Raw genomic sequence first — 26,663 nt, 5'->3', positions numbered from 1 at the left:
ATCACAAGGGAAGGGGATGAACAAATCGTGATGGTTTAGGCCAATCCAGATGCCACCCTGGGACTGTGGAGGGGTCCAACCTTACCCAGTGGACCAAAGGATGTGGCCACTCAGTGGGCAAAGATCATAACCGAGGCCCTTTTAGCAAGAAAGCTGGGAAGGAAGCAGGAGGCAGGAGTGGCCGTTGGCTAAGAGAACACCACTGGCCACCACCCCACCTGCAGAGTATACCACAGGTCCTTCTTCTTCTGTCCAGCTACAACAAAATACCTGAGATTGGGTCATTTATAAAGAACAGAAATTTACTTCCTCACAGTTCTGGATGCTGGAAGGCCAAGACAGAGACCCTAGCAAGGTCAGTGTCTGCTGAAGATCTGGTCTCTTTGCTTCCAAGATGGTGCCTTGTTGCTGCGTCTTCCAGGGAGGACGAAACACCATGTCCTCGCATGGCGGAAGGGACAGGCACAGGGGCCTAAGCCAGCTTCCTCCAACCCTTTTATAAGGAAGCCATCCATTTGTGAGGGCAGAGCCCTCATGGCTAATCACTTTCCAAAAGGCCTCACCTGGTAACACCACCACAAGGGGGATTGAGTTTCCTCGTGAATTTTGGAGAGGACACATTCAAACCACAACATACAGAACTGCAATGAATACTTGTGGATTCATACATTCTTTGTGATCCGTAATAAATGATCCAAACCAATGAATAAAGGGTAACTCCAGAACAAAGATCAGACATCCTAGCCTAGTATGCAAGCCTACTAGAGTGTTCTGCTGCCCCCTTCTCTGTTCCCCTTATCACCTCCCCTCAGCCCAAACACCAGCCCCACCAAGCCACCTGCAGCCCTCTAAGCGCCCATGCTCTTGCTCCTACTCATTACACACATCATTCCATCTGCCTAGAACACCTTCCTTCTTTCCACTTGGCTAATGTCCATTCACCTTCAAGAATGAGATAGCACATTCCTTCCTCCCCTTTCTTCCCTGACCCTCTCAAACAGTAGGAGCTCTCCATGAGCTCCCAGACCCTCTGTGATTCTGTCTCTCTCTCTTCACCCATATTGTGCCCACCCTAAACCCTTTGGCTGTGTCTGACTCAGCAAATCAGCCTCCTTTCCTCCTCCTTTTCTCCAAGAGGAGAACCTACCATCATCCATCCTGAGGTTGAACTTCTGTTTTACCTTCTCCCAAAGTTTGACAACTACACCTATAGATGGCTAGATAACACAATGACAATGATGAAAATTATAACAGCTCAACATTATTGAGTGCATGCAGTATGCCAGGCCAATGGGCAAACACTTTACCTTAGTATATCATTTAATCCTCACAAAACTATCAGGCAGGGAATGTGATTTTTACAGTTTACAGATAAATAATTGGAGCTTCAGAAAGATTGAGTGACTTGCCCAATATCATGAAGCTAGTAACTGGAGTTCAAATTTCAAACTAGGCAGGTTGACCCAATAGCCCTCACTCTTGACCAAAATATCTCACTGCCACCTACCTCGAAGGTAATCATAATTGAAATTTTCCCAGGCAAATCAATAGGATAACGAAACTGGCTGGATAGAGAGGATTGTTAATCCCACACGCCAGCTGAATCTGATCCAGTGCCCTATCTGGGACATTTTCCCTTTACATACATGACTTTTATATTTGCTTTGATAGTTTAAGCATGTTCATATTTTTTATGGCTCAGTTTATCCATCTGACACCACTGTGAAGTAGACAGAAGAGGTACTCTTGCTTGTAAACTCACACATGAGCTACTAAAGCAAAGGGAGGTTAGGTGACCAGCCTGAGGCTACGTGGAGAATGAGAGGCCAGCTGGGCTTTGACTTCGGGTCTCCTCCTCCCAGTCCCAGGATTAGAGGACAGTGATGTGAAATTGTGACCAGAGCCCACCCAGCCCCTGTCCTGTGGCTGTCCACATCCCCCCTGGGGATGAGGATGCCTGTGAAAACTAAGAGACTCATGTTCCTTGGTGCTCTGGAAGCTCTGCTCTGGGGTCCTCTGGAAGAGCCAAGCACAATGAAAGTGCATCCCCGATGAGGAGAGAGTAGTATCCCTAGGATCTTGGAGCTGTCAGAGGTGCTAGAGTGACATGGAGGCCAAGAGAGCTCCCAAGGCAGCAGCCTGGGAGGCATTAAGCTGTAAGCTGGTGCAGGCAGCAGCCTGGGGCTACAACACAATGACAGAGCAGATCATGCGAGAAGAGATGGAGAGCCCTGAGCACCCAGTTTGAGGAAGCTCCAACTAGAGAGAGCTGGAATCCTGCATAAGCAAGTGTGGTAGGAAAATAACAGCCCCCTCCAGAGATGTCCACGTCCTAATCCCAGAACCTGTGAATATGTTACTTGGCATGGCCAAAGGAATCTCTGCAAGTGTGATGAAGTTAGGGATCTTGAGATGGGGAGATTATCCTGAATTATCTCGGTGGGCCCCATGTCATCACAAGGGTCCTTAAAAGGGAAGAGAAAGCAGGAGACTCAGAGAAGGTGATACAATGATGGAAGCAGAGATGAGAGTCACGTGGACCCACGAGCCAAGGAAAGCTGATGGCCTCTAGAAGCTGGAAACGGTACAGAATAAATTCTCCCCTAGAGCTTCCAGAAGGAACCAGCCCTCCTGACAACTTTGCTTTAGCCCAGGGAACCTACTTAAGACTTCTGACCTCCAGAACTCTAAGAGAATAAATCTGTAGGTTTTTAAAGTCATTGAGTTTATGGTAATTTGTTAGCGCAGCACAGGAAAATTAATAATATGGCAAGCAAGAGCTCTCTAGCCAATGGACTCAGGCTCTGATGGTAGGCATAACCATTTGTTCATTTGCTGAGCAAATACTATATATTCGGCACCATGCTGAAAAAACATCCAGCAAGCAAAACAAGCATGGCTCCTCTCATCAGGGAGCTTGAAATCCAGTGTGGAAGACCTGCAGTATGCTTGTTATCGATTCATGGCCTCTCAGCTCCAAGTTCACCCCTCATTACCTGCTCTGTGAAAATAGATCTGAGCCCTATTTTAATATTTTTGCTTTTCCAATGGGCACGATATTAGGCTTTGTCAGTAGAACATACTGGAGAGACAGTTTGGGAGGAAAGGGTTGACTTTCTGATGCTGAGGCCCTCTCTCTGCAGCTCCTGCCATGCACAGACCTTCTCCAGCATTGGTGGCTTCCTCGGTGTCCCACTCCTACAGTTCATGGTGGCCAGCAGCACCTCACAGCTGGCAGCTTTCCCCAAGGTCCACCTTCAGTAGTTTGGTAGCAAGTGCATCACTTGTGAACAGCTGTCCCTAGCACTACAGAGGACAGATTCCCATCAAGCTCTACTCGAGTGCTGCATCAGCAACTTGTCTGCCATTCAGTAAGCTGTGACCATAACCTCTCAAGAAATGTTGCTTTGGGGGGATAGGCAGGGAAACCTCTTCTTTCAGCATTATAGTTCAGCCCTCAGGCTAGCAGCTGCTCCCTGTATCTGCCATTCCTATACTCTTTAGAGTTCTCTTCACTTCTAACTAACCAATCCCTCACTATCCCAGTCCTCTGTGATAGTTAACAATTCTCTATTTTAAACTTTCCGTGTTCACATTCTTTCTTATGGCTGGACCTAGACTGAGACAGACAGGACACAAACACTCATAAATAAGCATGGATCACAGACTGTGATGGGATCTGCACAAGACAAGGACAAATAAGTGAAAATAGAAAGGGGGAGACTAATTTAGCCAGAGTAACCAGGAGAAGCCTCTCCACGAGTTGACCTTCAAATGAAAAGTGACAAGAAATCAGCCATAATGGAGCATTCTGGGCCGAGGGAGCCAAAAGGAGACCTGAGAGGAACGAGACTTGGCATGGCCACGTTCTGAATATGCAAGCTTCTGAGGGACAGGCTGGATTTGGTTCACAGGAGTCACATCATGCAATAAAACAAGCAAGATAATGGCACTGGCTGGAGCCCGTCACCCTCAAATCCAGTTCCTGGCCCTCCTCTGATCAGTTCTGGATCATAGCAGTGTTGAGCCCTGAAGATGCTGCTTCCTAAGCTTATGCCTCAGCCAGCAGAATGAGATTAAGTGAAAGACTTTGCAGGATCTGGCAGGAGGAGGGAGGCAGAAGCCAGGTAATTCCTCACCCCGCTCCCAGCCCTGCCTCAGGTAGCATCCTTCGCAACAGTTGAATCTCTCCCACACTCCAGCCCTAACCAGGCTGCTCAAATGTGATTCTAGCTGCAGCAGTGACCCCCAGGTCCTGGGCTCTGGTAATAACCCCTCCACCCTCACCCTCTGGCCTGGGGGTAGTAGCAGATTCCCACTCTTACTAGGGTGCCCAGCTCTCTTCTGTTCTACATCTGCTTCTCATCTGTTTCATTCCCTGTGTACTTAAGTCCTTGCATTTAAAGCTGCTCTGTTCTAACTACAGAGGGATTTCTGCTTCACATCAGACTCTGAAAATAGTGAGCCCATTTTTTGTACATTATGTAGCTATGTACCCTAGTGCCCTTACTTCATGCAGGGGCAGTCCAGCATTAATTGCCACTGATCTTTCCATGACTTGCTTTGGAATAAGGAAAAGGAGAAGGGGAAGGGGAAGAGGAAGGAGGAGAAGAAGGAGAAGGAGAAAGAAGGAGAAGGAGAATGAGAAAGAGAAGGAGGGGAAGTGAAGGAAGAGGAAGAGAAGGAGGAAGGAGAAGGTGGAAGTAGAGGAGGTGGCAGCAGTGGTAGCTTCCAAACCCACAGTGAATGCAGTGCTACAGATAAAGCATAGAGCAAAGTGGTAAGGACATTGAGTAGAGATTTCCCAACCTCAGCCTGACCTAGCTGAGCTGGAGAATTTATAGATGGGTTCCCAGGCACAAGGGATGCAGTTTCATTCCACCTTAAAACCCACACCCATCCATCTCTGTTCCCTAACAGGTACTTCCCCGTCTAGATTGGCTGCCTTCAAACCACAATGTGGGTCAATGATGATAGGAATGATCTCCGTCAGTCTAATCTTCAAAAACTAAATGACCCTGGAAGCTTGGACTAAAGCACAGATCCATTCATTCATTCAACAAACATTAACTGTGCCAGCCATTGTGCTAGGTGCAGGGGTGAAAGATGTGGACACAACTGACCAGGATAACCCTACTGTCATGAATCCCACCTTCTGGGGAGGAAGACAGAAAATGAACCCTAAATATCAACCAGTGATAATGTCTAGGAAGAAGATAAAACAGGATGATGACAGGTAGAGGGTGATGAGCTGGCAGGGGAGGGAGGGCCAATTTTAGCCAACAAGGTCAGAGAAGGTGACTCCCTAACAGTTGAGGTGGGGAAAAGGACCCAGACGTGGGAGATGTAGGGAAAGTGTGTTCCAGCAGAGAGACACATTCAACGCACTTGAGACACTCGAGATTCGGGGATGGCAGAATTAATTCTAAGATATAGGGTTCAAAGGAGTCTCAACTTTGTTGTTTAACTTGCATGATGAATGATCAAAAGCACCCACAGATTTTTCTAGAGTATCTGGACATGGATCCCACACTTTGGTACCAGACAGGAAAGTCAAGGCAGTGCAGAAAATGGTTGAACATTTCCAGTGTGGAAAAGGGTATTAAGCAGGTAGTACCCATGGACTTACTGTCTCCGTGGAATCTCTGGAATTTAGGCTCTGGAATCTCACCCATGACCCTGATCTCAGATGTAGCCCCTGAGCTTGACTATGAACGTAACTTCAACCAAGCCCAGGAGAAGAAATCCAATCACCTCCAGGCCAGTGAAGCAGAAACACAGACAGTTTTGTGGACTCTGGGGCTCTACCCAGCTTAAAGTGGTCAGTTCCCAGCAAGGCTCTTTCAGTCCATCTGCATTTTAGAGTTTTCCAATCCATAAGTTACCTGGGAGACTTAAGGGCAAAGCCAATTGACAAGGGGTCAGTTACTTGGCATATAGAGCCACTGTTCCCAACGTGTAACCCTGATGCATTTCAACAAAACTGTTTTCACTCAGCGCAGCACTCAGTCCTGATATGCACGCAGATTGAGAAAATAAAGAATAAGGGCTCCCCAGGAAACAGTTCCGCAATATCCACAAATGAAAAGGGATTTACATGGTAGACCTTAAATAGTTCCCAAGGAGCCATTATGAAAAGCAGGTAGATCAAATGCAATTTAAGTATATTTTCCTTGTTTAAACAGTGTATCAGGTATGTGGAAAATAACAGATTATACAGTGCATCATGTTTAAAGAAAACTTCTTTGTGACACTTCCTCTGAAACCCCCAGATTCCTCACCATGGCAAGAGGGACGATGCCCACGAAGGTTGTCTGGCTGACGAAGATCTCGGAGACGACCAGCTCACTCATGGAGTCCTCAATCGGGTACTCCACCTGCCAGGTAATCTGCTGGGCCCCAGCCAGGTCACTGCTATTATCAATTCCAAAGTCCACTTGCAAGATCTCATAGAAGGATCCATTTACCCTGGAAAACAAACACATATTAAGGTTCCATTTAAAACCTCAGACTCAGCAAAATGTCAAGAATGTAATAAATTGCCACATTCTTATTTGTCAACCAAAAGAATGACTGCCAAGTTCAACAACTCACACGGCAGTGTTGTCGGAGCCTAATTCACAGCTGCCCATCAGCAGCCCACACCTCAGAATAGGCTGACGATCCGTCTCTAGGGCTCCGTGTTGCAGAAAGCAGGCTGTCTTTCACTGGATGAGTAACTCGGTCAGCATTTCACCTCTTCGCATGCCACGCACAGCTCTCCCCTCCCCAGCCCAGGCACGGGCATGCCACAGTCCAAGTTCCACACTCAGGAAAGGCCCCCAAGCCATTTCATGTAGCTTCACTGCTCTTCCAATCACAAAGCACACCCTGGACCTTGGCCATTCCTGCTTCTACTTAGCTGAGGTCTGTAGACCAGTTGTTAAAACTCTCCAAGCTTTAGAATTTGCAGAGAATAGTGGGGACCTCATGGGTGTGTGGAAGCATCAGGAGACTGAGAGTGAGAAAGAACTTCACACACTACGTGGTTTACTACATAAACTACGAGCAACATAAGAAGATACTACACTGGACTTCTCATTTCACCAAATGGGATTAGAAGTAATGTAAAAAAATCCCACCTGCCTTAATTCATGGAATGACAAGATCATATGTGTGTTTGCAGGTGGGGGGGCTATGAAGTTGGTGAATTCTTCATAACTGAAAAAGACTAGTGTGATTATGGTATTTGTATGTGCAGGGAGCCCCTTGTCATTGACATGGACTTGTAAATTGCAGGCTATCGCATTGACAGGGAAGTCACTGAACAGAGTTAAAACAGAAAGCCATGCAGCACAGGATTGTGAATGACCCTGATCCATCAGCCTGTTTCCATCCCAGTGAATCCAGCTCCACCCAGATACAAGGAAGGCAACAGCAGAGCAGCTGATCCGCAAGCTCCCCCAAGGCCTGAGCCACACACACCAGCAGCTCCTTCTCTGCCAATGAGCCTCCTAGGACCAATGTAGGCTGAGAAGTCTCCTTCCTGCCTCTGGGGGCCTAGGCAAGGTCTGCAGTCTGGGCTCCCAAACTCACAACCTGTGTGGAGTTTTGAAAAAGAAACTGCTGCCTGCTGCTTGTGTAATGGACTCTCCTACCACGGACAGCTCCCCTGCACTGGAGCTCCTACAAGAACAGTGGTGGGGAAACCACATCTGCTTCCTTGTATATGCCAAGAGGTATCAGAGGAACACTGGAATACAGCCACAGCACTGACAACACGAAATCACACTGACCTGATTGGTAAGAAATTCTACCCAAAGGGAAACCACATTGTACTCCACATAGAATAGGTCATGGGCAACCTTTTTCCTATTTAGCCAAGATTTTAAGGAACTCTCTGATACCACAGTGCCCAATATTGTGGCCACCAGCCACAAATGGCCATTTACGTGCAAATTAAAATAATTTAAAAATAAATCAAATTTAAATTCAGTTCTTCAGTCACACTATCCTAATTTCAAATGCTCACCAGCCACATGTGGCCCTTGGTGACATGTTGCACAGGGCAGGTAGACAACTGCTGACCTGCTTTGTACCCTGGGAAAGACATTCATGCCCATTCCGCCATCAGCTTCCTTGTCTGAAAAATGAGTGAATAACAATAATATTGGTCTTTCTACTTTCAGTAGAATTATGGGGATGGAATGAGGGAATGGGTGTGTACTCACTTCATGTACCATCCAGTAATATGAATTCATACTGTGATGATCTCAAAATCATAGGAGACACACAGCTGTGGAAAAGTTTAGGGGCTCCCGTGGGCAAACATAGCCAGGTGGTCCCAGCTGACCCTAAGCTGCACATAGGTACTTGGGATCTATAAATCTTCAAATATCCATTGGTACAAGTTGTTTTGCAAGAAAATATGTGTTGGGCCGGGCGTGGTGGCTCACGCCTGTAATCCCAGCACTTTGGGAGGCCGAGGCGGGTGGATCACGAGGTCAGGAGATCAAGACCATCCTGGCTAACATAGTGAAACCCCGTCTCTACTAAAAATGCAAAAAAAAAAAAAAAAAAAAAAAAAAAAAAAAAAAAAATCAGCAGGGCATGGTGGCGGGCGCCTGTAGTCCCAGCTACTCAGGAGGCTGAGGCAGGAGAATGGGGTGAACCCAGGAGGTGGAGCTTGCAGTGAGCTGAGATCACACCGCTGCACTCCAGCCTGGGTGAAAGTGCGAAACTGTCTCAAAAAAAAAAAAAGAGAGAGAGAGAAAATGTGTGTTGAATAGCAGTTTCTGAACTCATGAGAGGACTGAAAGTGTGCACACATGGGACCCCCCTTCCCATCAGGGGACCCCTATTTACCTGGGTATCTTTAGTGAAAGGCAAAGAAATAGATGAAGGGCTGAGCTTTCAGCTCAGTTTTCAGCTAGAGTCACCCCACCTGCACCCCTGCCATTTCCCATCAACCATATTCCAGCCTAATTTCTCTTCACTAGTCACAGAAATTCTCCACGAATCCATCTGTTAAGTCACCTCCTACGAGAGATGCTTGGTCCTGTCAGACCAAATTTTCAATTTCTCTTTGGGCCGCACTGTGCTTTGTAACCAGAACTAGGAAGCTGCTTCCAAAACCTCCCGGGTTCTCAGCATTCCGTAGACCTCAGAGAAGCTAATGCCAGGGAAGCGAAGATCCAGTGAGAGGAGAAATGAGCTCTTCCACCAGCCATTTCATCCTGCTAGATTCATACTCTGGTCCTGGGGTAAAGAAAGAGAAGTGGCCAGTCTTTAGGCAAAGAGGGTAGGTCTGCATAAGATGATCAGCCCTTCTGACTGTGGGCACGTCCTGCTCCTCTCCAATTTCCCAGCTTGTGAGCTGGACCAGCTGCAGGAACCTGCCCAAGTCCAGCAATGAATGGAATAACAATTAAGGCAGAGCTTCTTTTATGTACAGGTTTTTTTTAAAGTCATTTCTCTCAATCCAGAGGAAAGAGGTCTTATACTTTTAGGCAATGGGCATGCTTGCTAATGAGTCCATTTCTACAAAAATGAGTTCATAACTGGTAATTTGACCTGCTCCTGATCTAGTCTTGATAAGCCTTTCAAATATCAAGAAGTGTTTCATGATTCTCTCAGTTTAATAATTACAACCGCCTTTCAGGAATCAGGATCGGTGTTTCAGCCATGAGACATTCATTAGGCAATTTTTCCTGCAGTGGGGAAGGAGGCATGTGAGAGTGCGATAGTGTATGTGAGTGTGTGTGTGAGAATGTGATAGTGTGTGAGTGTGTGTGTGAGATTGCGATAGTGTGTGTGTGATAGTGTGTGTTAGTGTGTGTGAGATAGCGTGAGAGTGTGTGTGAGTATATGTGAGAGAATGCGTGAATGTGGGGGTGTGAGAGTGTGTGGGAGTGCATAGGAGTCTGGGAGAAAGGAGAATGTGTGCATGTGTGTGTGTCGGCACAAGAGAGAATGTGCAGCTCTGTGTGTGACAGAGAAATAGGATATGTACATGTGTTTGTGTGTGTAAATGTGTGCGTGAGAATGTCTATGAGTGTGTGTGACAGGGAGAATGTGTGGAGGTGTGTGTGTGACAGAATGTGTGAATGTGTTGATAGAATGTGTATTTGTGTGAATGTGAAAGAGATGTGCAAATGTGTGTGAGAATGTGTGAATATGTGTGAGAATGTGTGTGAATGTGTGTGAGAACGTGTGAATGTGTTGTGTGAGTGTGGGAGGGAATGTGTGTGAGTGTGAGAAAGAATGTGTGAAGGGGGTGTGAATGTGTCAATGTGTGTGACTAAATGTGTGAATATGTGTTGTATGAGTGTGTGTGAGAGGGAATGTGTGTGTGTGAGTGTGGGAGACAGACTGAATGAATGTGTGTGAGCGTGAGAATGTGTGAAGGGGTGTGAGCGAATGTGTCAATGTATGTGTGTGAGTGTGACAATGTGTGAATGTGTTTCTGTGAGGGAATGTGTGAATGTGTGTATGTGTGAGAGTGTGTGAGCAAATGTTTGAATGTATTTGTGAGAGAATGTGTGAAAGAGGTGTGAGTGAATGTGTCAATGTGTGTGTGAGTGTGACAGAATGTGTTGTTTCTGTAAGAGAACATGTGAATAGTGTGTATGAGTGTGTGAGAGAATTTGTGTGTGAGTGAATGTATGAATGTGTGTGTGTGAGAATGCATGTGTGTGAGAGAATGTGTGAACGTGTGTGTTTGAGTGTGCATGAGAGAGAATGCGTGTGTGAGTGTGGGAGAGAATGTGCGAACATATGTGTTTGTGTGAGTGTGTCTGCGTGTGTTAGGAGGAATCCGCCATGGAGTGGCGACACTGCTTGGCTGTTTCTCCCTCAAGCTAGAGCACACACCTTCCTTCCAAAAGGACTTGCCTCCCAGAAGCCCTGTTTGTCATGGAAACCTCCCCTTCCGTAAAAGCTAAGCCTCCTCTCTGGAGCCCTGGGACCCCTGAGGAGGGGCTGAGGCACCTTTTAGTGCACAGTGTGGCTGCAGCTCAGTCGTGCCAGCCAGGAGGAGGAGGAGGAGGAGAAGACACAGGGCAGCAGAGAGGGACAGGGCACCTAACCCAGCAGTGTGTCCCCAGGACCACATGCGGCTGTTCCTCAGTGCATCGCTCATGATCACAAGAGTGACTGCTTCACAGGACCAGGGAAGGGAGGGAGGGATCAGAAAGGTGGGAGGGAGGAAGAAATGAAGAAGAGTGGGCAAGTTCGAAAGCTTGAACTGTTCTCCAGCAAGTTGTGTCATTTACATAGATTATTTTTTGCAAACGTCTGGATGGTTCTGAGCTACCAGGCAGAGATGGTAACACTTTCCCCACATGGGAATTCTAAAAATGGGACAAGAGAAGCTGTCTCTGGTCTCAGGTATCTGTTTTTTCTTATGAGACTTTTTCTAGGCATTAATTTTTAAGATGACCAAAAAGCAAGGTAAACTACTGAGTGATGATTACACTGAACAAATGTCCCAAGATAGGATTTGCTGGTGCCTCTCAGGAGATACAATGGGAGACGGGGACCTCTGACTCCTCCTCTCGACCATGACCTCCATGAGGACACAGACGTGCCTGTACTACTGCTGCCCTGACTGTAGTGCTGACACAGTGCCTGAAAAACTGTAGGAGTTCAATGAGTATTTGTTTAATTCTTTGAACATACTTAAAAGACCCAATAGGATACCCTGTAAAACTCGTTGGGGGTGGGGGGCGTGTGGCGTTTGCATTCTGGGAGACAAGAAGCGACCAGCCAGCAGAGCCTTGAGCCGTATTCTCCTTCCAGGCCGTAAGTCTGTTTATATACTCTGCTTAGAGAAGACACGTCTGTCTTCACTACTGGACCACAGTAAGTTCCTCAAAAGCCAAAACCTATTATAACACCATAGTCACTGCAGTTCCTGGCACATTATTCACTAATATTTATTTGGCACCCCCTGTGGTGTGCTGGGCACTGAGATTCATTAGTAGACAAAACAGATGAGACTCCTGTCTTACTAGTCAGGAAAATAAAAGACCACATAATGACAAATGCTATCATGAACACGAAGTGGAAGAATGAAAGTTGTTTTAAGAATTAAACAAAATTCTTCAATTTTTAAAAATTAAAAAAATACAATTTAAAAATGGTCACCTTAAATTTCAAAATAGAATATAAATTACAACAGAAGACAGTGGAAGGGCGTTCTGGAGTAAGAAGCTGGCATCTGAGCTGAGACCTGAAGGGCGAGTAGAAACCAAGCAGATCCTCAACAAGTGTTTGCTGAATGAATAAGTCTATTTTAAGCTAAAAAATTCATAGGAAAACTGTATCCCAAACCATCAGCATGAACACAAGGTGCTAAACAAAAAAGAGCATCCTTCAAGTCTTTGTTTGAAGGCTGCCAGCTCAGTAAAGCCTCCTCTGACCACCCCAGTTAAAATTCTGTTCTCATCTCCACAATTCCAACCCCCTTATCCGGCTCTAGCTTTTCCATGGCTTTTATCTTCTAACATACTGTTATTTATTGATAATGTTGATACTCTCTCGCACACGCACGCTCTCGCTGTCTCTCACACGCACACACGCACACAGGCACACGCACACGCACATACAAGTATGTAAGTGCCTGTTTTGCTCACGAATGTATCCCCCACACTTAGAAGGCTGTCTGGGACATAGGAGATGCTCATTAGACATCTGTTGAATGAATGAATGAATGAAGAGTGTTAAACACAGTTTGAGCGGGTCTCAGAGGAGCATGTGCCGAGTGCAGCAGAGCCCCTGAGCTGCAGGTGAGTGAAGGAGACAGACCTGCGTAGGCAGGCAGGCCAGGGAAGGCTCCCGGGGAGGCTGGGCTGTGGCTGAGCTTTGAGGACTGGGCTAGATGACAGGCAGCTGCCACAGCCCCACTGCGTGGGGTCCCCTCATCACCCCCGTTTCCCCTCCTGACATCCTTCCCACTCCCTGAGTCCCCACCAACACTGATGTCCTGGAGAGGAGAGGGCACATTCCTGCTCACGGATCCCTTCAACAGACTAGAGGTCTTTAGTTCGTCTCTCTGCCTCTCATACAACCTTTTTTTTCATCAGGATCTAATGGCTGGCTCTCAGAATGGAGCATAAACAAACCATCTACTTCTGCAGTTTCATAGGATCCAGGCACCACCTCCTCATTTCCGTTTTGTCAAGGGCAGTTCTGCTTTCTCTGAGTATGCTCTGAAAAGACCAGGCAGGCAGCGGTTGGCAGTCAAAGGTCTACAGGCTACAAATACTTAAGGTCCACTAGTCTAAATCAGGGACTTATCTTTTAGGACTCAAAACATTCTCTCATTACTCGTTAGATTTTCTGACTTCCCATCATCAAATTGCTACACAGAACTTTAAAAAAAATCTAGGACTGTGCCAACTGGGCATACTCTAAGAAATTGGGTTCCTTTACAGCATTTCTGGCTGATGGGGAAAATTAAATCGAAATCCCAGAGGTTGCAGCTTCATATAACTGAGCTGCTCACAGCCAGAGCCATACTTTGCTTAATCATTCCCACTATCATGTTTTACAAAATTCGAATCAGCTGGCGATATTTTTAAATATGGAGAATCTATACCCCCCAAAATAGTAATTCTGCCTTCTCTGGAGAAGGTTAGGCAACACTATTCCACATTCCCATGTGGTAATAACCAGCTGGGGCAGAACACTGTCCCCTTTATTAGGGTTGAAACTTTCCAATAGGCCTGAGCCACTTTACTCACTTATCATGTCCCCCAAGTCCCTGCGGACATTTGTGATTTCTGAGAAAACACACTTGGTTTTGAGCTCCCTAGTAGGCACCTTTTGCACTGTGTTTCCAGCTCACCAGTGATTCCTCATTCTGCTGAGAATTCACGTACCTATTTCCACTCTTACCCTTGTCCATAGGGCGGGACATGGCATGACCTTATGAGACCCAATCTCTAGCCATGGGCTGGACTTGGTGGTGAACCCTCACCTCAACTGGATGAGGGACACTTCCTAGGAATGTGATTTCCAGCTAGGAAATTTGGAATTTGGGATGCTTTTTCTTTTCTTTTTTTTTTTTTTTTTGAGATAGAGTCTTGCTCTGTCGCCCAGGCTGGAGTGCAATGGTGCGATCTCGGCTCACTGCAAGCTCCGCCTCCCGGGTTCACGCCATTCTCCTGCCTCAGCCTCCCAAGTAGCTGGGACTACAGGCGCCCGCCACCACACCCGGCTAATTTTTTGTATTTTTAGTAGAGACGGGGTTTCACCATGTTAGCCAGGATGCTCTCGATCTCCTAACCTCGTGATCCGCCCACCTCGGCCTCCCAAAAAGCGCTGGGATTACAGGCGTGAGCCACCGTGCCCGGCCTGGGATGCTTTTTCAAGCAGAGATGTGAACTCTAACCAGCTGTGCAGTTATCTCTTCTACCAAGCAGACTAAGAACTGAAAAAAGAGATGAGAGTGAAAAGGACAGGGTAGAAGTTAGAATAAATATTTCCAGAGTTTCTGGTAAATTTCTACTTCCTGGTTGCAGTTCCTGGAACCGACTACAATGCTTTCCTTGGGTTCCATGAAACACCTTCGTATCCTTATGGTTCATCCCCCCCAAAAGGTGAAAGCAACCCAATTTTCTATCAAGCAATGAATGGATCAACAAAATGTGGTATTTCTATACAATAGAATATTATTTTGCCATAAAAAGAATTACTGAGAAATGCTGCAATACAAATGAACCTTAAAAGCATAATGCTAAGTGAAAGAAGCCAGTCACAAGAGAGGATATATGACTCCATTGACAGGAAATGTCCAAAGTAGGTCAATCCATAAAGACAAAAAGTAGAATCGTGGTTGCCAAGGACTGGGGTAAGTGGGGGAATGGGAAGTGACTGCTACTGGATGCAGTTTCTTTGAGTGTGACAAAAATATTCTGAAATTACATAATGCAATGATTCCATGACTTTCTGAATATACTAAAAACGACTGAATTGTTCACTTTAAAAAGATGAATTACATGGCATGCTCATTATAACTCAATTGTTTTTAAATAGAAGGAAATGAGAGTAAAAATCAAGTTGCACATGTATATGAATGGTATAATACTTTTTATAAAAATTAGAAACATATGCAATAATTATTTCTATAGTTTATATTAAAAACTGCAAAAAAACATGCATGGTAATGATAATGCCTACCTCAGAGAAGGGAGAGAAATAATGAGGTACTGAGGGCTCCAATTATATCTGTAAAATATATTTCTTTTAAAATTTGAAGAAAATAAAGCCAAATAGCAAGAGTTAATAAAGCTGGGGGTAGGTGAATGAGTATTTGTTATATTATTTTCTATACATTTCTCTAATCAAGAAATATTTTACGTAAACATAGAAGATCACCATCTTCAACTCTCTCTTGTTTGGTTTCTTCTGCTTTTGTTTAAATCTCAAATATATTTTTCCCTTGTAAATACTCCAAAACCTCTCCATCTGACTCCTAAGTCAGCACATAATCAGTCGGCCAACCCATTGCCCCACTTCCCAAACACAGGAAAAGGATGTTAGAGTCTTCTTATTTTTCTGTTTTTAAAATGTGTAAAGTACTTTGCAGACTGGCATGAGTGGTCCTATTTTTGCTTACCAACATTTTCTCAGAGCTGAAAACAATAAATCTTGATAATGAGCAAACACTTGAGGCACCTCCACTTTCTCGGCTGCCAAACCCATGACAATTTCTCACACTACAGCTCACCCTTACTTCCAGCTTATCTGATTTTATCAGCATCACCGTGACAAGCCCAGAGACAGCTAAGACAATTGCCACAATTTTTTCCCCACTGCCTCTATCTTTCTGACAACATCCAAAACCCTTCTAGCAAATGATGACTCAGAAATCATCTTACACCACGTTCTTAAATACAACTTTTCAGAATCGTCTCTGTTTCTTTCTATTACCAACCTGGAGGAAAACGCTTGTTACATAAAAAATGGACAATGGATTTCTCAGTGAAAACCATTTCTATTCAGGTCTCCTTAAAGAGAAGAGGCAAACCCATGCTGACAGACATGAGAAATCGAATGACAGACTCCAGACTCCAGACTCCAGACACGGAGGATGCAGGACTGAACCTTGTTACTGTCCTCTGATTCCCGAGGCAAACATTCGCAGCTTCACCTCAGATTGGAACTGGGGGTCTGATTTTGATTCATAACATAATGTTAACTTTTGAATAGATAATCCATTCCTAAGATGTAAAATTCAAAAAGTATAAAAGAATAGTCTTCCTTCTACTGCTACCTCCCGAGACTCCCAAATCCACTCCCCGCAGCCAACCCAAGTTATTCTTTTCCTTATTAGCCCTGCAGAGATATTCGATGCACCTACAGGCATGAAAAAGTGTGATGCTCTGCCCCACTTTTACACAAATGTGCACATTATACACTCCATTCTGCATCTAGAACATTTGATCTCCAGTCCAAAGGGAAAAGAGAGGCCTAGTTGTTCTCCTCATTAACTATGGAATGCCCTGGCCTGGAAGCAATCACCAGTCACATGGCCCCATCTGACCACAGGACCAGCAAGGATAATCCTCCTGCATGCGCAGAGAAGTGGTGAACGGTACCCATAACTAGAGCGCCAGGAAGCCCCGGCCCAGGCAGGTTACACAGCTATGAAGTGGAGCGTCCAGGACCCACCACACCTCTGATACCACAGTTCATGCTGGAGAAAGACTGAATGTAACACTTGTGCATTCATACATGCACATTTACTGAGTGACCACTAGGTCCCCAGCCCTGTGCCTGTTATATATCCACAGGGGGAAAGTGAAGAGCAGAGTCACACACAGAAAACTCTAATTACTGGCTGGGTGTGATGGCTCACACCTGTAATCCCAGCATGTTGAGAGGCCGAGGCGGGAGGGTCACTTAAGGCCAGGAGTTCCAGACCAGCCTGGGCAACATGGTGAAACCCCGTCTCTACCAAAACTACAAAAATTAGCCAGGCGTGGTGGTGCACACCTGTAATCCCAGCTACTCCGGAGACTGAGGCAGGAGAATCACTTGAACTGAACCTGGGAGGTAGAGGTTGCAGTGAGCCAAGATCATACCACTGCACTCCAGGCTGGGCGACAGAGTGAGACTCTGTCTCTAAAAAAAAAAAAAAAGAAAGAAAGAAAGAAAAAAAAAGAAAACTCTAATTACTTTTCAAACAGTCTGCTTCTGAGTGGAAACTTTTCTTCTGTCATGTTGCACAGGATTACTCTGCATCTCTACTGGGAAGGGCCTCATTAAGTGGGGATCCTCTACATGCCTAATAGGCAAGTTGACTCCATCAAGTAGAAGCATCTGCTAATGAGACCATGGTCCTGGAGTCATGCCATATGCACGCTGGTTAGCTAGATTTTCCCAGGTGGCCATGGAGGGCTCCTATAAGTCCAACACCCTGAAAGCCACTCTGGTTACCAGGGGCTAGTTGGCAGCTGCAACTGCAATCAGTGCCAATTTTTTCCCAGACCTGGTGTCTTCCCTGCTGAGGTACAGGAGCAGCATCACGCACAAAGGATTACACTGGGCTCTCCATTAAGGGAACTGTAACAATGAGATGACCAGGGCTTTGTTCGTGGCTGACCTACAAAGATCAGGCCCAAGATGAACTTCCTGCAGAACACTAGATCAGAAGAGTGCTCACATTCACCTAGAGCAAAATGTAAAGGCCGCAGATATTTGATTGTACTTACTAGGAGAATTTACTACTCTCAAAGGATGGAGTTAGAAGGTGCAAAGATCATGAAGTTTATTGCAGTCTTCCCCATTAAAGGCAACTCCAACCATCCTTCCAGTTACTCTGGTCAAAATCTTGGTCGTCCTTAACTCTTCTCTTTCCTTAATAGTGCACGTGTAATGTGTCCAGGAAGCCTGCTGGTTCTACCTTAAAAATATGTAATTTTTAAATACCTCACTCTAACTGCATCTACTGTTTCTGCCCTAGGCCAAGTCACCATCGTCTCTTGCCGGGGCGACTGCAATAACCTCCTACCTGATCTCTCTGTGTCCACTCTCACCACCACTCCCACACTCTCTTCTCTCCACACAGCAGCCAGAGTGCTTGTGTTAGAACTTAAGTCACATACTCTTCTCTCTTCTTTTCAAAACCTTGAGGAATTCTCATCTCAGTCACATAAAAGGCAAAGTCCTTACAAGAATCTATACCCGGCCCCTTAGCTCTATGGCCAGATACCTCCCTAAACACTTGTCCCCCACTCTCTCCCTGCTCATTCTGCCTGAGCCACAACGGCACCTTTACTGTTCCCCCAGCTCCAGCCATGCTGCTGCCTCAGGGCCTTTGCACTAGCTCATGCCTCTACCTGGGCCACTCCTCCCTATGACAGCTATACCATCCTTGGCCTCGCCTTCAGGACTAAACTCAACAGCTGTCTTCTCAGTGGTGTCTTCTTTGATAAGCCTGCTGAAAGACCCATCTCCTACACTAGAGCGATCCCTATCACCTTCCTTGCTGTTTCTCAACAGCACCATCAAACATACTCTATTTTATTTATTACCTTTCTTTGGGCTATTTCTGTCCACTAGATTGTAAGCCCAGTGAGGGCAAGGGTTTTGTCTGCATGTTCCTATATTACCCCCCAGTGCCTAGGAAAGTACCATAGTAGGCACTTCATAAACATATCATGGATGGATGAATGAATGAATGCATGCATAATCTGTGAACCTCAAAGTAAAGACACTTCAACATGACACCCCTTTGGCTTTCCTAGATTGTCATGTTTTCATCCTTGTGTCTGAGGTCTTATTCGTGTCCAACCCTGCCTAGGTCTAGACAGGCACCACTCATCTCCCAGTCTTCCAATTTCAATATTCATCTATGGGCTTCTGCATTACCTTCCATAGGAGCATGAGGAAATTTCTGTTTGGCAATTTTCCTGCAAAGGAGTTTCCCTCTGCCCTGCAGAAGTTTGGAATGGCAAAGCCATGATATGCTGGAATCTCAAAAACACAAACGTAATATTTGAATCCTAACTTATTGGGCACTCAGTGCTTCTGAAGCAACAATCTTCTCTTTATTGAACACCTTAAAATATGAAGTACTAGCATACAAGAAAGATATAAGACCCAATCCCTGTCCATGCAAACAGTTATACCTTAGCTTATCAAGTTTAGGCTGGCATGAGACCCAGAAGGGTATTGAAGCTATATGTTCATCATGTTGATGTCAGAGATGACTTCTATCTCTCAAACCTTTTTTGTGCATTAAGCTGGTTAGTATTTGATAAAGTATTTTGATAAAGTATTTTTTTCAAAAATTATGTCCCACTTAAGAGAGTTGCATGGAAAGAGCCATAAGTTACATAGAAATATAATTTTTTTTTACTTTTAACTCCATTATAAAATTTAATATTAAAAACAACTATAATTTACATGGGATAAAATCCACTATTTTAAGAATATACCATGAGTTCTGACAAATGCATAGTCATGTAACTATCACCACACTCAAGATATAGAATCTTCCCACCACCCTGAAAAAGTGCTCTTATGACCCTTTTCAGACAACTCGCTTGCCACACTCCCCAACTCTGACAACCACTGATCTACTTTTTCTCACTCCAGTTTTTCCATTTCTAGAATTTCATATAAATTGGAATCACACAGAATATAATTTGTATCCGGCTTCTTTCATTTAACATGAGGCTTTGATGGTTAATCCATGTTTGTGTGCCCATCAGTAGCAAGCTCCTTTCTATAACTGGGTAGGATTCTGTTGTTCAGAAGTTTACAATTCGTTTATCTATTCATCAGTTAATGCACACTTGAGTTCTTTCCAGTTCTTGGCTAGACTGAAAATGAATATGCTGTTGTAAACATTCATATATATCTCTTTGTATGAACATACGTTTTCATTTATCTTAATGCAATACCTAGAAGTAAGTTTGCTTGGTCATATGACAAGTATAGGTCTTTCGCAAAATTGGGAAATTTATAAGCATTACCTCTTCAAATATATTTTCTGTCCCTTTTCCTTTTTCTTCTTTTTGGACTCAATTCCACATAGACAACTTCCTATCGTCACACAGGGCCCTGAGGCCCTTTTAATTAACATTGTCAATGTTTTTCTTCTGTGTTCTTCAGACTGAATAAGTTCCATTGGTCTGTCTTAAAGTTCACTGACTCTTTCTTCCATCATCTCCAATCCTCTGGTAAGCCACCCAGTAATTTTTTTTTTTTTTTTCTGAGACGGGGTTTCGCTCTTGTCGCCCAAGCTTGAGCACAGTGGTGTGATCTCAGTTCACTGCAACCTCTGCCTCCCGGTTCATGCGATTCTCCTGCCTCAGCCTCCCGAGTAGCTGGGATTACAGGCATGCACCACCAGGCCCAGCTAATTTTTGTATTTTTAGTAGAGACGGGATTTCACCACACTGACCAGGCTGGTCTCAAACTCCTGACCTCAAGTGATCCACCCTGCTTGGCCTCCCAAAGTGCTGGGATTACAGGCAAGAGCCCCCGCACCCGGCCCCAGTAAACTTTTTTATTTCAGATATTATATGTTTCAGTTCTACAACTTCAACTTTATTCTTTTTGTAGTTTCTATTTTTCTCCATTTCATGTCTTTCCTTTCAGTAGGAGCATATTTTCCTTAATGTCTATAATGTAATAATAATAATAATAACTACCTTATAATCCTAGCCTGATAATTCCATTATCTGGGTCACCTTTGCACAAGTCCCCACTTACTGTTTTTTTTTTTTTTTTTTTTTTTTTTTTTGTCCTCTGGTGTGTGAGTCTCATTTTCTTGTTCCTTCTTATGTCAAGTAATTTTGGATCACGTCCTGGACACTGTGGAACAATGCATTGTAGAGACTCTGGATTCTATTACACATGTCTGAAGAATCATGTTGTTACTTTTTTATTAAATAGGGAGTTAAGCTGAGCTTCCTGGAGTCTTCATAATGCATGTGCGATTCCAGGGTCAGCCATAGATTTGGGCAGAGATTGTATACAGAATGTGAGGCCTCTCTTTCTCTAGATCTTTTTTTTTCCAGCATTCTCCCCTCATTTTCCAGTGGTTGTGGTTGCCCCAAACACTGCCTCTGGTTCTTCAAGCCGGTAAGACTGAGCTTTCTGCAATTCAGCTTCCCTGCATGGGTACTTCCATCAGTGTCTAAGTCATAAAATGAGAAACTCATCCAATGCCATTCCCTGCTTGCAAGTGTCTGCTGCTTTTGGTTACTCTCTGTAACCTTTAAATAGCTGTTTTTTGCATTTTCTCCTGAGTTTATAGTTGTCATCGGTGTGAATATTAGCATTGTAGCAGTTCCTCCACCATTATTAGACAAGGAATCACCAGTGCTAATGTTTTGCAGGCAGGTGCCATTACAACAGATTCAGTAACAGGTAAAAGATGAAGACAACTTTTCCAAGGAGTATCACAAATGACAACCAGCGTTCTCTAAAATTAAAGTAACTACCTTTGATTCAGTCACTCCCAAAACACATGGCACCTCTGAGTCACAAAGGATTATTTCAACACCACCAGAGCAAAGGAAAAAAATGAAAGAGAGGAAGAGAGACAGACAAACACCTTGAGATATTAAAAAAACAAATCCAAACAGAATCTTCAACCTCATTAACCTTGAAATTAGCAGAGTTGGGAGAAGCCCACAAGTAGTTTGACACTCTGAAGGCCATCTGGGTCAACAATCAGATTAGAATTCTTGTAACCTTCCACTCACCTGGCAGATTTTCAATAAATGTCAGCTAAGCAGAAAGTCAATGGAAGGGATTTGCAGGTTCCTGTAATCCCAAAATGTGTAAATCTCCCTAAGTGAAGAGCTCTCCTCCAGGAAACAGAAATTCTCCTGTCACCAATTAATTAATACCCAATGATTGTATCACGTCTGTGACTTGGCCCATTGTATTAATTACAACAGCCTCGAAATCTTTCTTATAGGCCAATTACTCTAAAGAAATTAGCTCTTAAGCCAACTACAAATAGAAAAAATTATGTGCATGTAACTTCTCTAGCTTCTCCTTTGCTGATTGTGTCTCTTAAAGCACTCCTGAAATTCTTTACACAGAACTGAGCCCATTCTTACCCTGCCATATTTTGATTAAGAGAAACTAATTTGGGCCTGAGGAGCAAGTGTGAACCAGACTGATACATCAATTATAGTGGTAAGAAGCTGGATTCTTTCCTTTCATCTCACAAGACTGCTCATCTACCCAGTTGCAGGATGCAAAAATATAATAAGATGGTCCAGGACAGGAGAAGGCCTAGTGTACGTGACTCAAGTAGCTGACTATCTGGATTCCAAGGAAAGGGACATCGAGTTCACACAGGATTCAGGTACCACCTCCTTGAATTTGCCCAATGCTCACTGCACATCAATCTTATTTTCAGAAACGGGTCCACTGGTGTATGTTCTCAAGGAATGAAAACTATTTCAAATAACGATGAGATCCAGCGGTGAGTCAGCACCATGTCAGGCCCTCTGAGAAAAAAGACCACTAATTGGCCTGAAACAATAGGATGAAAAAGCAAAAACCTGTTCTGGTGGCTGAGCCAGGCTGCACTAATGAGAGGCTGTGTGGCTGTGTGATGGCCATCAGGCTAACTGACCTTTGACATCATGTCTATGTCCCCCGTACACTCACCACCACCAGAGAGGGCCCCCAGGGTGCCAGGAGACAAAGCACAGCCCGGGGAGGGGAGGGGGCTGCGCTTGGGCCTCACAACTAAGCGAAGAGTAAATCCTCTCTCAGATCTGAACCTGCAAGGTCAGCACCTGCAGAGCCAGTTTCTCTGAAAACTCTTCTCCGTCTTAAGGCAATAATTCGTCTGCTCTCACTGATGTTGGACAGCCGATGCACCCTAATGAGAGATCCCAGGAGTCTGGGACCGCACCTGCTGAACTCAGAGTGAGAACACATGGTCTGAGATCTGTGAGCTTCTAATGGGAACCGAATGTTTAAAGTGAGGACAGTCCCAGAACATCAAAAAGAAGCCAGGAAACATAAAAAGAAGTTGGAGCCACAGAGTTGTCCATTCTCAATCCCTAATTCTACCAGAGTTTCACAAACTTATACTCTTTGTCTGGGTCTCCAAGTTATGGATTATGATATATTCATTCAAACATTCAATGAAATATTTTTGAGCATCTACTCTGTGCCAAGCTCTGTTCTCAGCACTGGGATCAACCGTGAGCTCTTCTGGAGTTTATATTCTAGTAGAAAGAAACAGTTAACACGCAAATAAAAAATAGATAAGGCAACTATTCAATCATGAATTTGGTATAATCAGTGACCTTTCCCAAATACTTCCAGCTCCGCATTTTCTGAACACGCGAGAGTACTGCACATCTGCTCCACTTGGGATTGGGTGGGCCCAGGTGACTAGTTTCAACCAACCCATTTTGTATCTCCCTTCAGTCCAGAATACGTACTTAGTTACTAGCATGAATCTCTGTTTCCCTCTGCCACAGCCACCAGCAACTTTCAAGATGAGGTGCTCCTTCAGCCATCTGAGGCACTGTAGTTGTCAGATTCCTCCTGCTGAACCTTGAAGAGCTCATATTTTGAGTGAGAAATAAACCTTTGTAGTTTTAAACCACTGAGATTTGGGGGTGGTTTGTTATCACATCATAAAATAGCCCATTCTACTGGATGCAGAGATAAAGATAAAACAGGATAAAGTGATGGGGAGAGAGATCATTTAGATAAAGTAGTGAAAGGAGGACTTTCTGAAGAGGAGAGATTTGAGAGCTGAGATTTCAGTGGCAGAGGACAAGGATCAGGGTTCCAGGCAAGGGGAACAGCAAGGGCAAAGATCCCAAAGTGTAGTAAGTTTGCTCCACTCAACCACACAGGTCCTACACATGTGCACATGGGCACACACATGCATTCGTGCGTGCATATGTGCACACACACACTCATGCAGATACACACACACGTGCACATACATGCACAAAATGAACTACGACAGTACCCTATTTTCACACAACTGGAAAATCAATGCTACACCTGAACGGTTATTCCTCATGGGTTTGCAGAAGTGTCCTCTTACATCTTACAAATACTTAGCCTTAGAGACATCCACCTGCACTCTGCCCTATACAGTACATGAATAATCTGTCATGCTTTCCAGACTGAGAGTCTTGCAAAATGGTCTCCTCCACCTGTCAATATTAGCATACAAAGGACACAAAATCTCCAAAGATGAGCTCCAAAAATGTCAGACCCCAGTACATTATTCAGCCATGGCATCCCACAAAATTGGGACCTAATTTAACAAATAAAAATATGAGATGTCCTGTTCTCACTTACAAGTGGGAGCTGAACAATGAGAACACATGGGCACAGGGAGGGGAACAACACACACTGGGGCCTGTCGGGGGTGGGGTGGGGAAAGGGAGACCATCAGGAAAAACAGCTAATGCATGCTGGGCTTAATATCTAGGTGATGGGTTGATACATGCAGCAAACCACCATGGCACATGTTTACCTATGTAACAAACCCACACATTCTGCACATGTACCTTGGAACTTAAAATTAAAATTAAAATATATATGGGATACCCAGTTAATTTTGAATTTCAAGTAAACGACATAATTTTTAATATAAGTATTTCCCAAATATTGTATGGAACAGAGAACAGTATTGCATAGAACATACATATACTAAAATATTATTCCTCATTTATCTGAAATTCATATTTACGTGGGTATCTTGTATTTTATCTGGCAATTCTCCACAAAATGGAAAGTCTCTTTTCTCTCAAAGATAGGAAGCTGTTTGTGAACCTTCCCATCCAATTACCAAAAGACAAGTTGAAGGATTTCTCAACCTTACAAGAGACTGGATTCCTAACTTTTCTGAACTGGCTCTCCCTTTATTCGATCTGACAAAAGCTGACATAAAACCCTTGTTCTGAACTGTCTTCACCTGTCTTCTGTTTCTTTGAGGACTTCCTTCAAAACCTTCCTATCCTTAGGCCCTCCCAATTACTATACGACTCTCTCTCTACTTGTACATCAAAGATAGGGACAAGCATTGGAGATCCTAACTCAATAGCACAAGGGAGATCAGAGACCCACCATTTATTAGTCTCTCGCTTGACCCCATAGAACAAAAATCTACTCTCCTCATTTGCTGCAACCAAGTTGACCTAAGCCTGCTACCTGGAGTTAGGACATCCACGTAACCTCACAGCCCCTCAAGCCATTCAGACTTTACTCTTCCCTGATAGTACCCAGTATTTTTCTATTTCTAGATTGACGTCCTACAAAATTCTTCCCCTTCCATTTCACATGTTTTTATCCATTCTTATGACATTCCAAATAAACCTCTCCATGCCTTACCCTCTGCAAGAGGAACCTCAGATTATCATGTCCTCAAATGGGAATGTTTCTTGCCTCCCTCTAGCTTCCTTGAAACACCTTGAAACTAGTGGTCCTCAAATGGCACCAACTTTGTCCCCCAGGGAACAGTTAGCAATGTCTGCAAACATTTTCAGTTGTCACCCCAGGGTTAGGGGAGGTCCTACTAGCAGCATCCAGTGGGTAGAAGCCAGGAGGCTGCTGCACTTCCTACAATGCCCAGAGATTTGTAGAGATTCCCCACCAGAGATTCCCCCAGCCTGAAATGCCAATTGTGTCAAAAGCTGAGACATTCTGCTTAGATAATTCAAACTTACAAGTGTTTGTAAGTGAGTCCTGTTTGAGAACCAAAGAGGCTCTCTATTGCAGGATCTGGCCAGCAGCCTGCAATGCAACGGGGCTCTCTCTTTGTTCCCAGGTGGACTGGCAGGTTGAGAAATAATAGACACACACAAGATAGTGAAAGCTGGGTCCCGGGGGATCACCGCCTTCTGGTCCCATGGTGCCAACAATGCACTGGATATACCAGCATTTATTATTAAGTTTAGTGAGGGTGGGGGTAGGTTAGTGAGGGATTTAGGGTCATTTGATTATGAGGTGAGATGGTCACATAGGGATGAAGTAATTCTTTAACATAACATTTGTATGCAGAAGTACAGTATACAAAGATAAGAATTTACAATATAGTGTGTGCGTCAGTAATTTCTAACAGAGCCTTAAAACAGAAACACAATCTTTCCATAACCTATGATTAGTAAAATATTATCAGCAGTAACAGTTGCAGCAAAAGCTTGTTACAAACAATCCACAGAAACAGGACGTGAAGCTAGACAACCGGTTAGACCAGAAATTCTCAGAAGGGAGTATGCCTTAACCCTAAAGAGGCCTAGAAGAGCCGTGGCAAGATGAGGGCGTTTATAGCCCTATCTTATCCATATGGACAGGCACCCCCCATGCGTCCACTTATAGGCTCTCCATAAGGGTCGCATTCCATTCCCAGAGCTATGAACATCTGCTTTTCTGGGATAGGAATCTTGGTGATGTGAAACCTCCCTGACTGCATGTCCATTCATAGGCTCTCTGCAGGGGGAAGCACATCACGCGCTGTTGGCTCATTCTGGCAGTCCAACCTGGCATTGTCTTTACACAATCCTGCATGCAATTTTGTATTTACAATAATCAGGAGCATTTCATCTTTTATTCCATAGCAATAGTCTCAGGGGTTCTCCCTATAGCTCTCAACTCAATCAGTCTTGCTCAAATCCAATCTCCTCTGAAAGGCCGAAATACTAAATTTGGTCAACAAATTATCA

At 44.4% G+C, this 26,663-nt stretch overlaps 1 protein-coding gene across 10 annotated transcripts in view, besides 1 other annotated feature; it reads right to left on the bottom strand.

Annotated features, from left to right (window-relative positions):
* TMEM132B (transmembrane protein 132B) overlaps positions 1 to 26,663 on the bottom strand; it is a 475,992-nt gene that overhangs the window by 136,471 nt on the left and 312,858 nt on the right. For all 10 annotated transcript variants that reach the window (NM_001366854.1, XM_047428245.1, XM_047428243.1 and 7 more), the window contains one exon: positions 6,282 to 6,468. In NM_001366854.1, the coding sequence (NP_001353783.1) occupies positions 6,282 to 6,468 (187 nt within the window). The remainder of the gene's footprint in view (positions 1 to 6,281; positions 6,469 to 26,663) is intronic.
* Positions 7,450 to 7,744: a silencer, noted in NCBI's record as "tiled region #9406; HepG2 Repressive non-DNase unmatched - State 22:ReprW, and K562 Repressive non-DNase unmatched - State 24:Quies". NCBI's record gives its function as "represses a minimal TATA promoter and a strong SV40 promoter by Sharpr-MPRA in HepG2 and K562 cells {active_cell/tissue: HepG2 | K562}" and the evidence as "EXISTENCE:reporter gene assay evidence [ECO:0000049][PMID:27701403]".

Source organism: Homo sapiens, chromosome 12 (genome assembly GCF_000001405.40).
Source record: "Homo sapiens chromosome 12, GRCh38.p14 Primary Assembly".
NCBI lineage: Eukaryota > Metazoa > Chordata > Mammalia > Primates > Hominidae > Homo > Homo sapiens.
The sequence above is the reverse complement of the archived record's forward strand: the minus strand, read 5'-3'. Positions and strand labels throughout refer to the sequence as shown.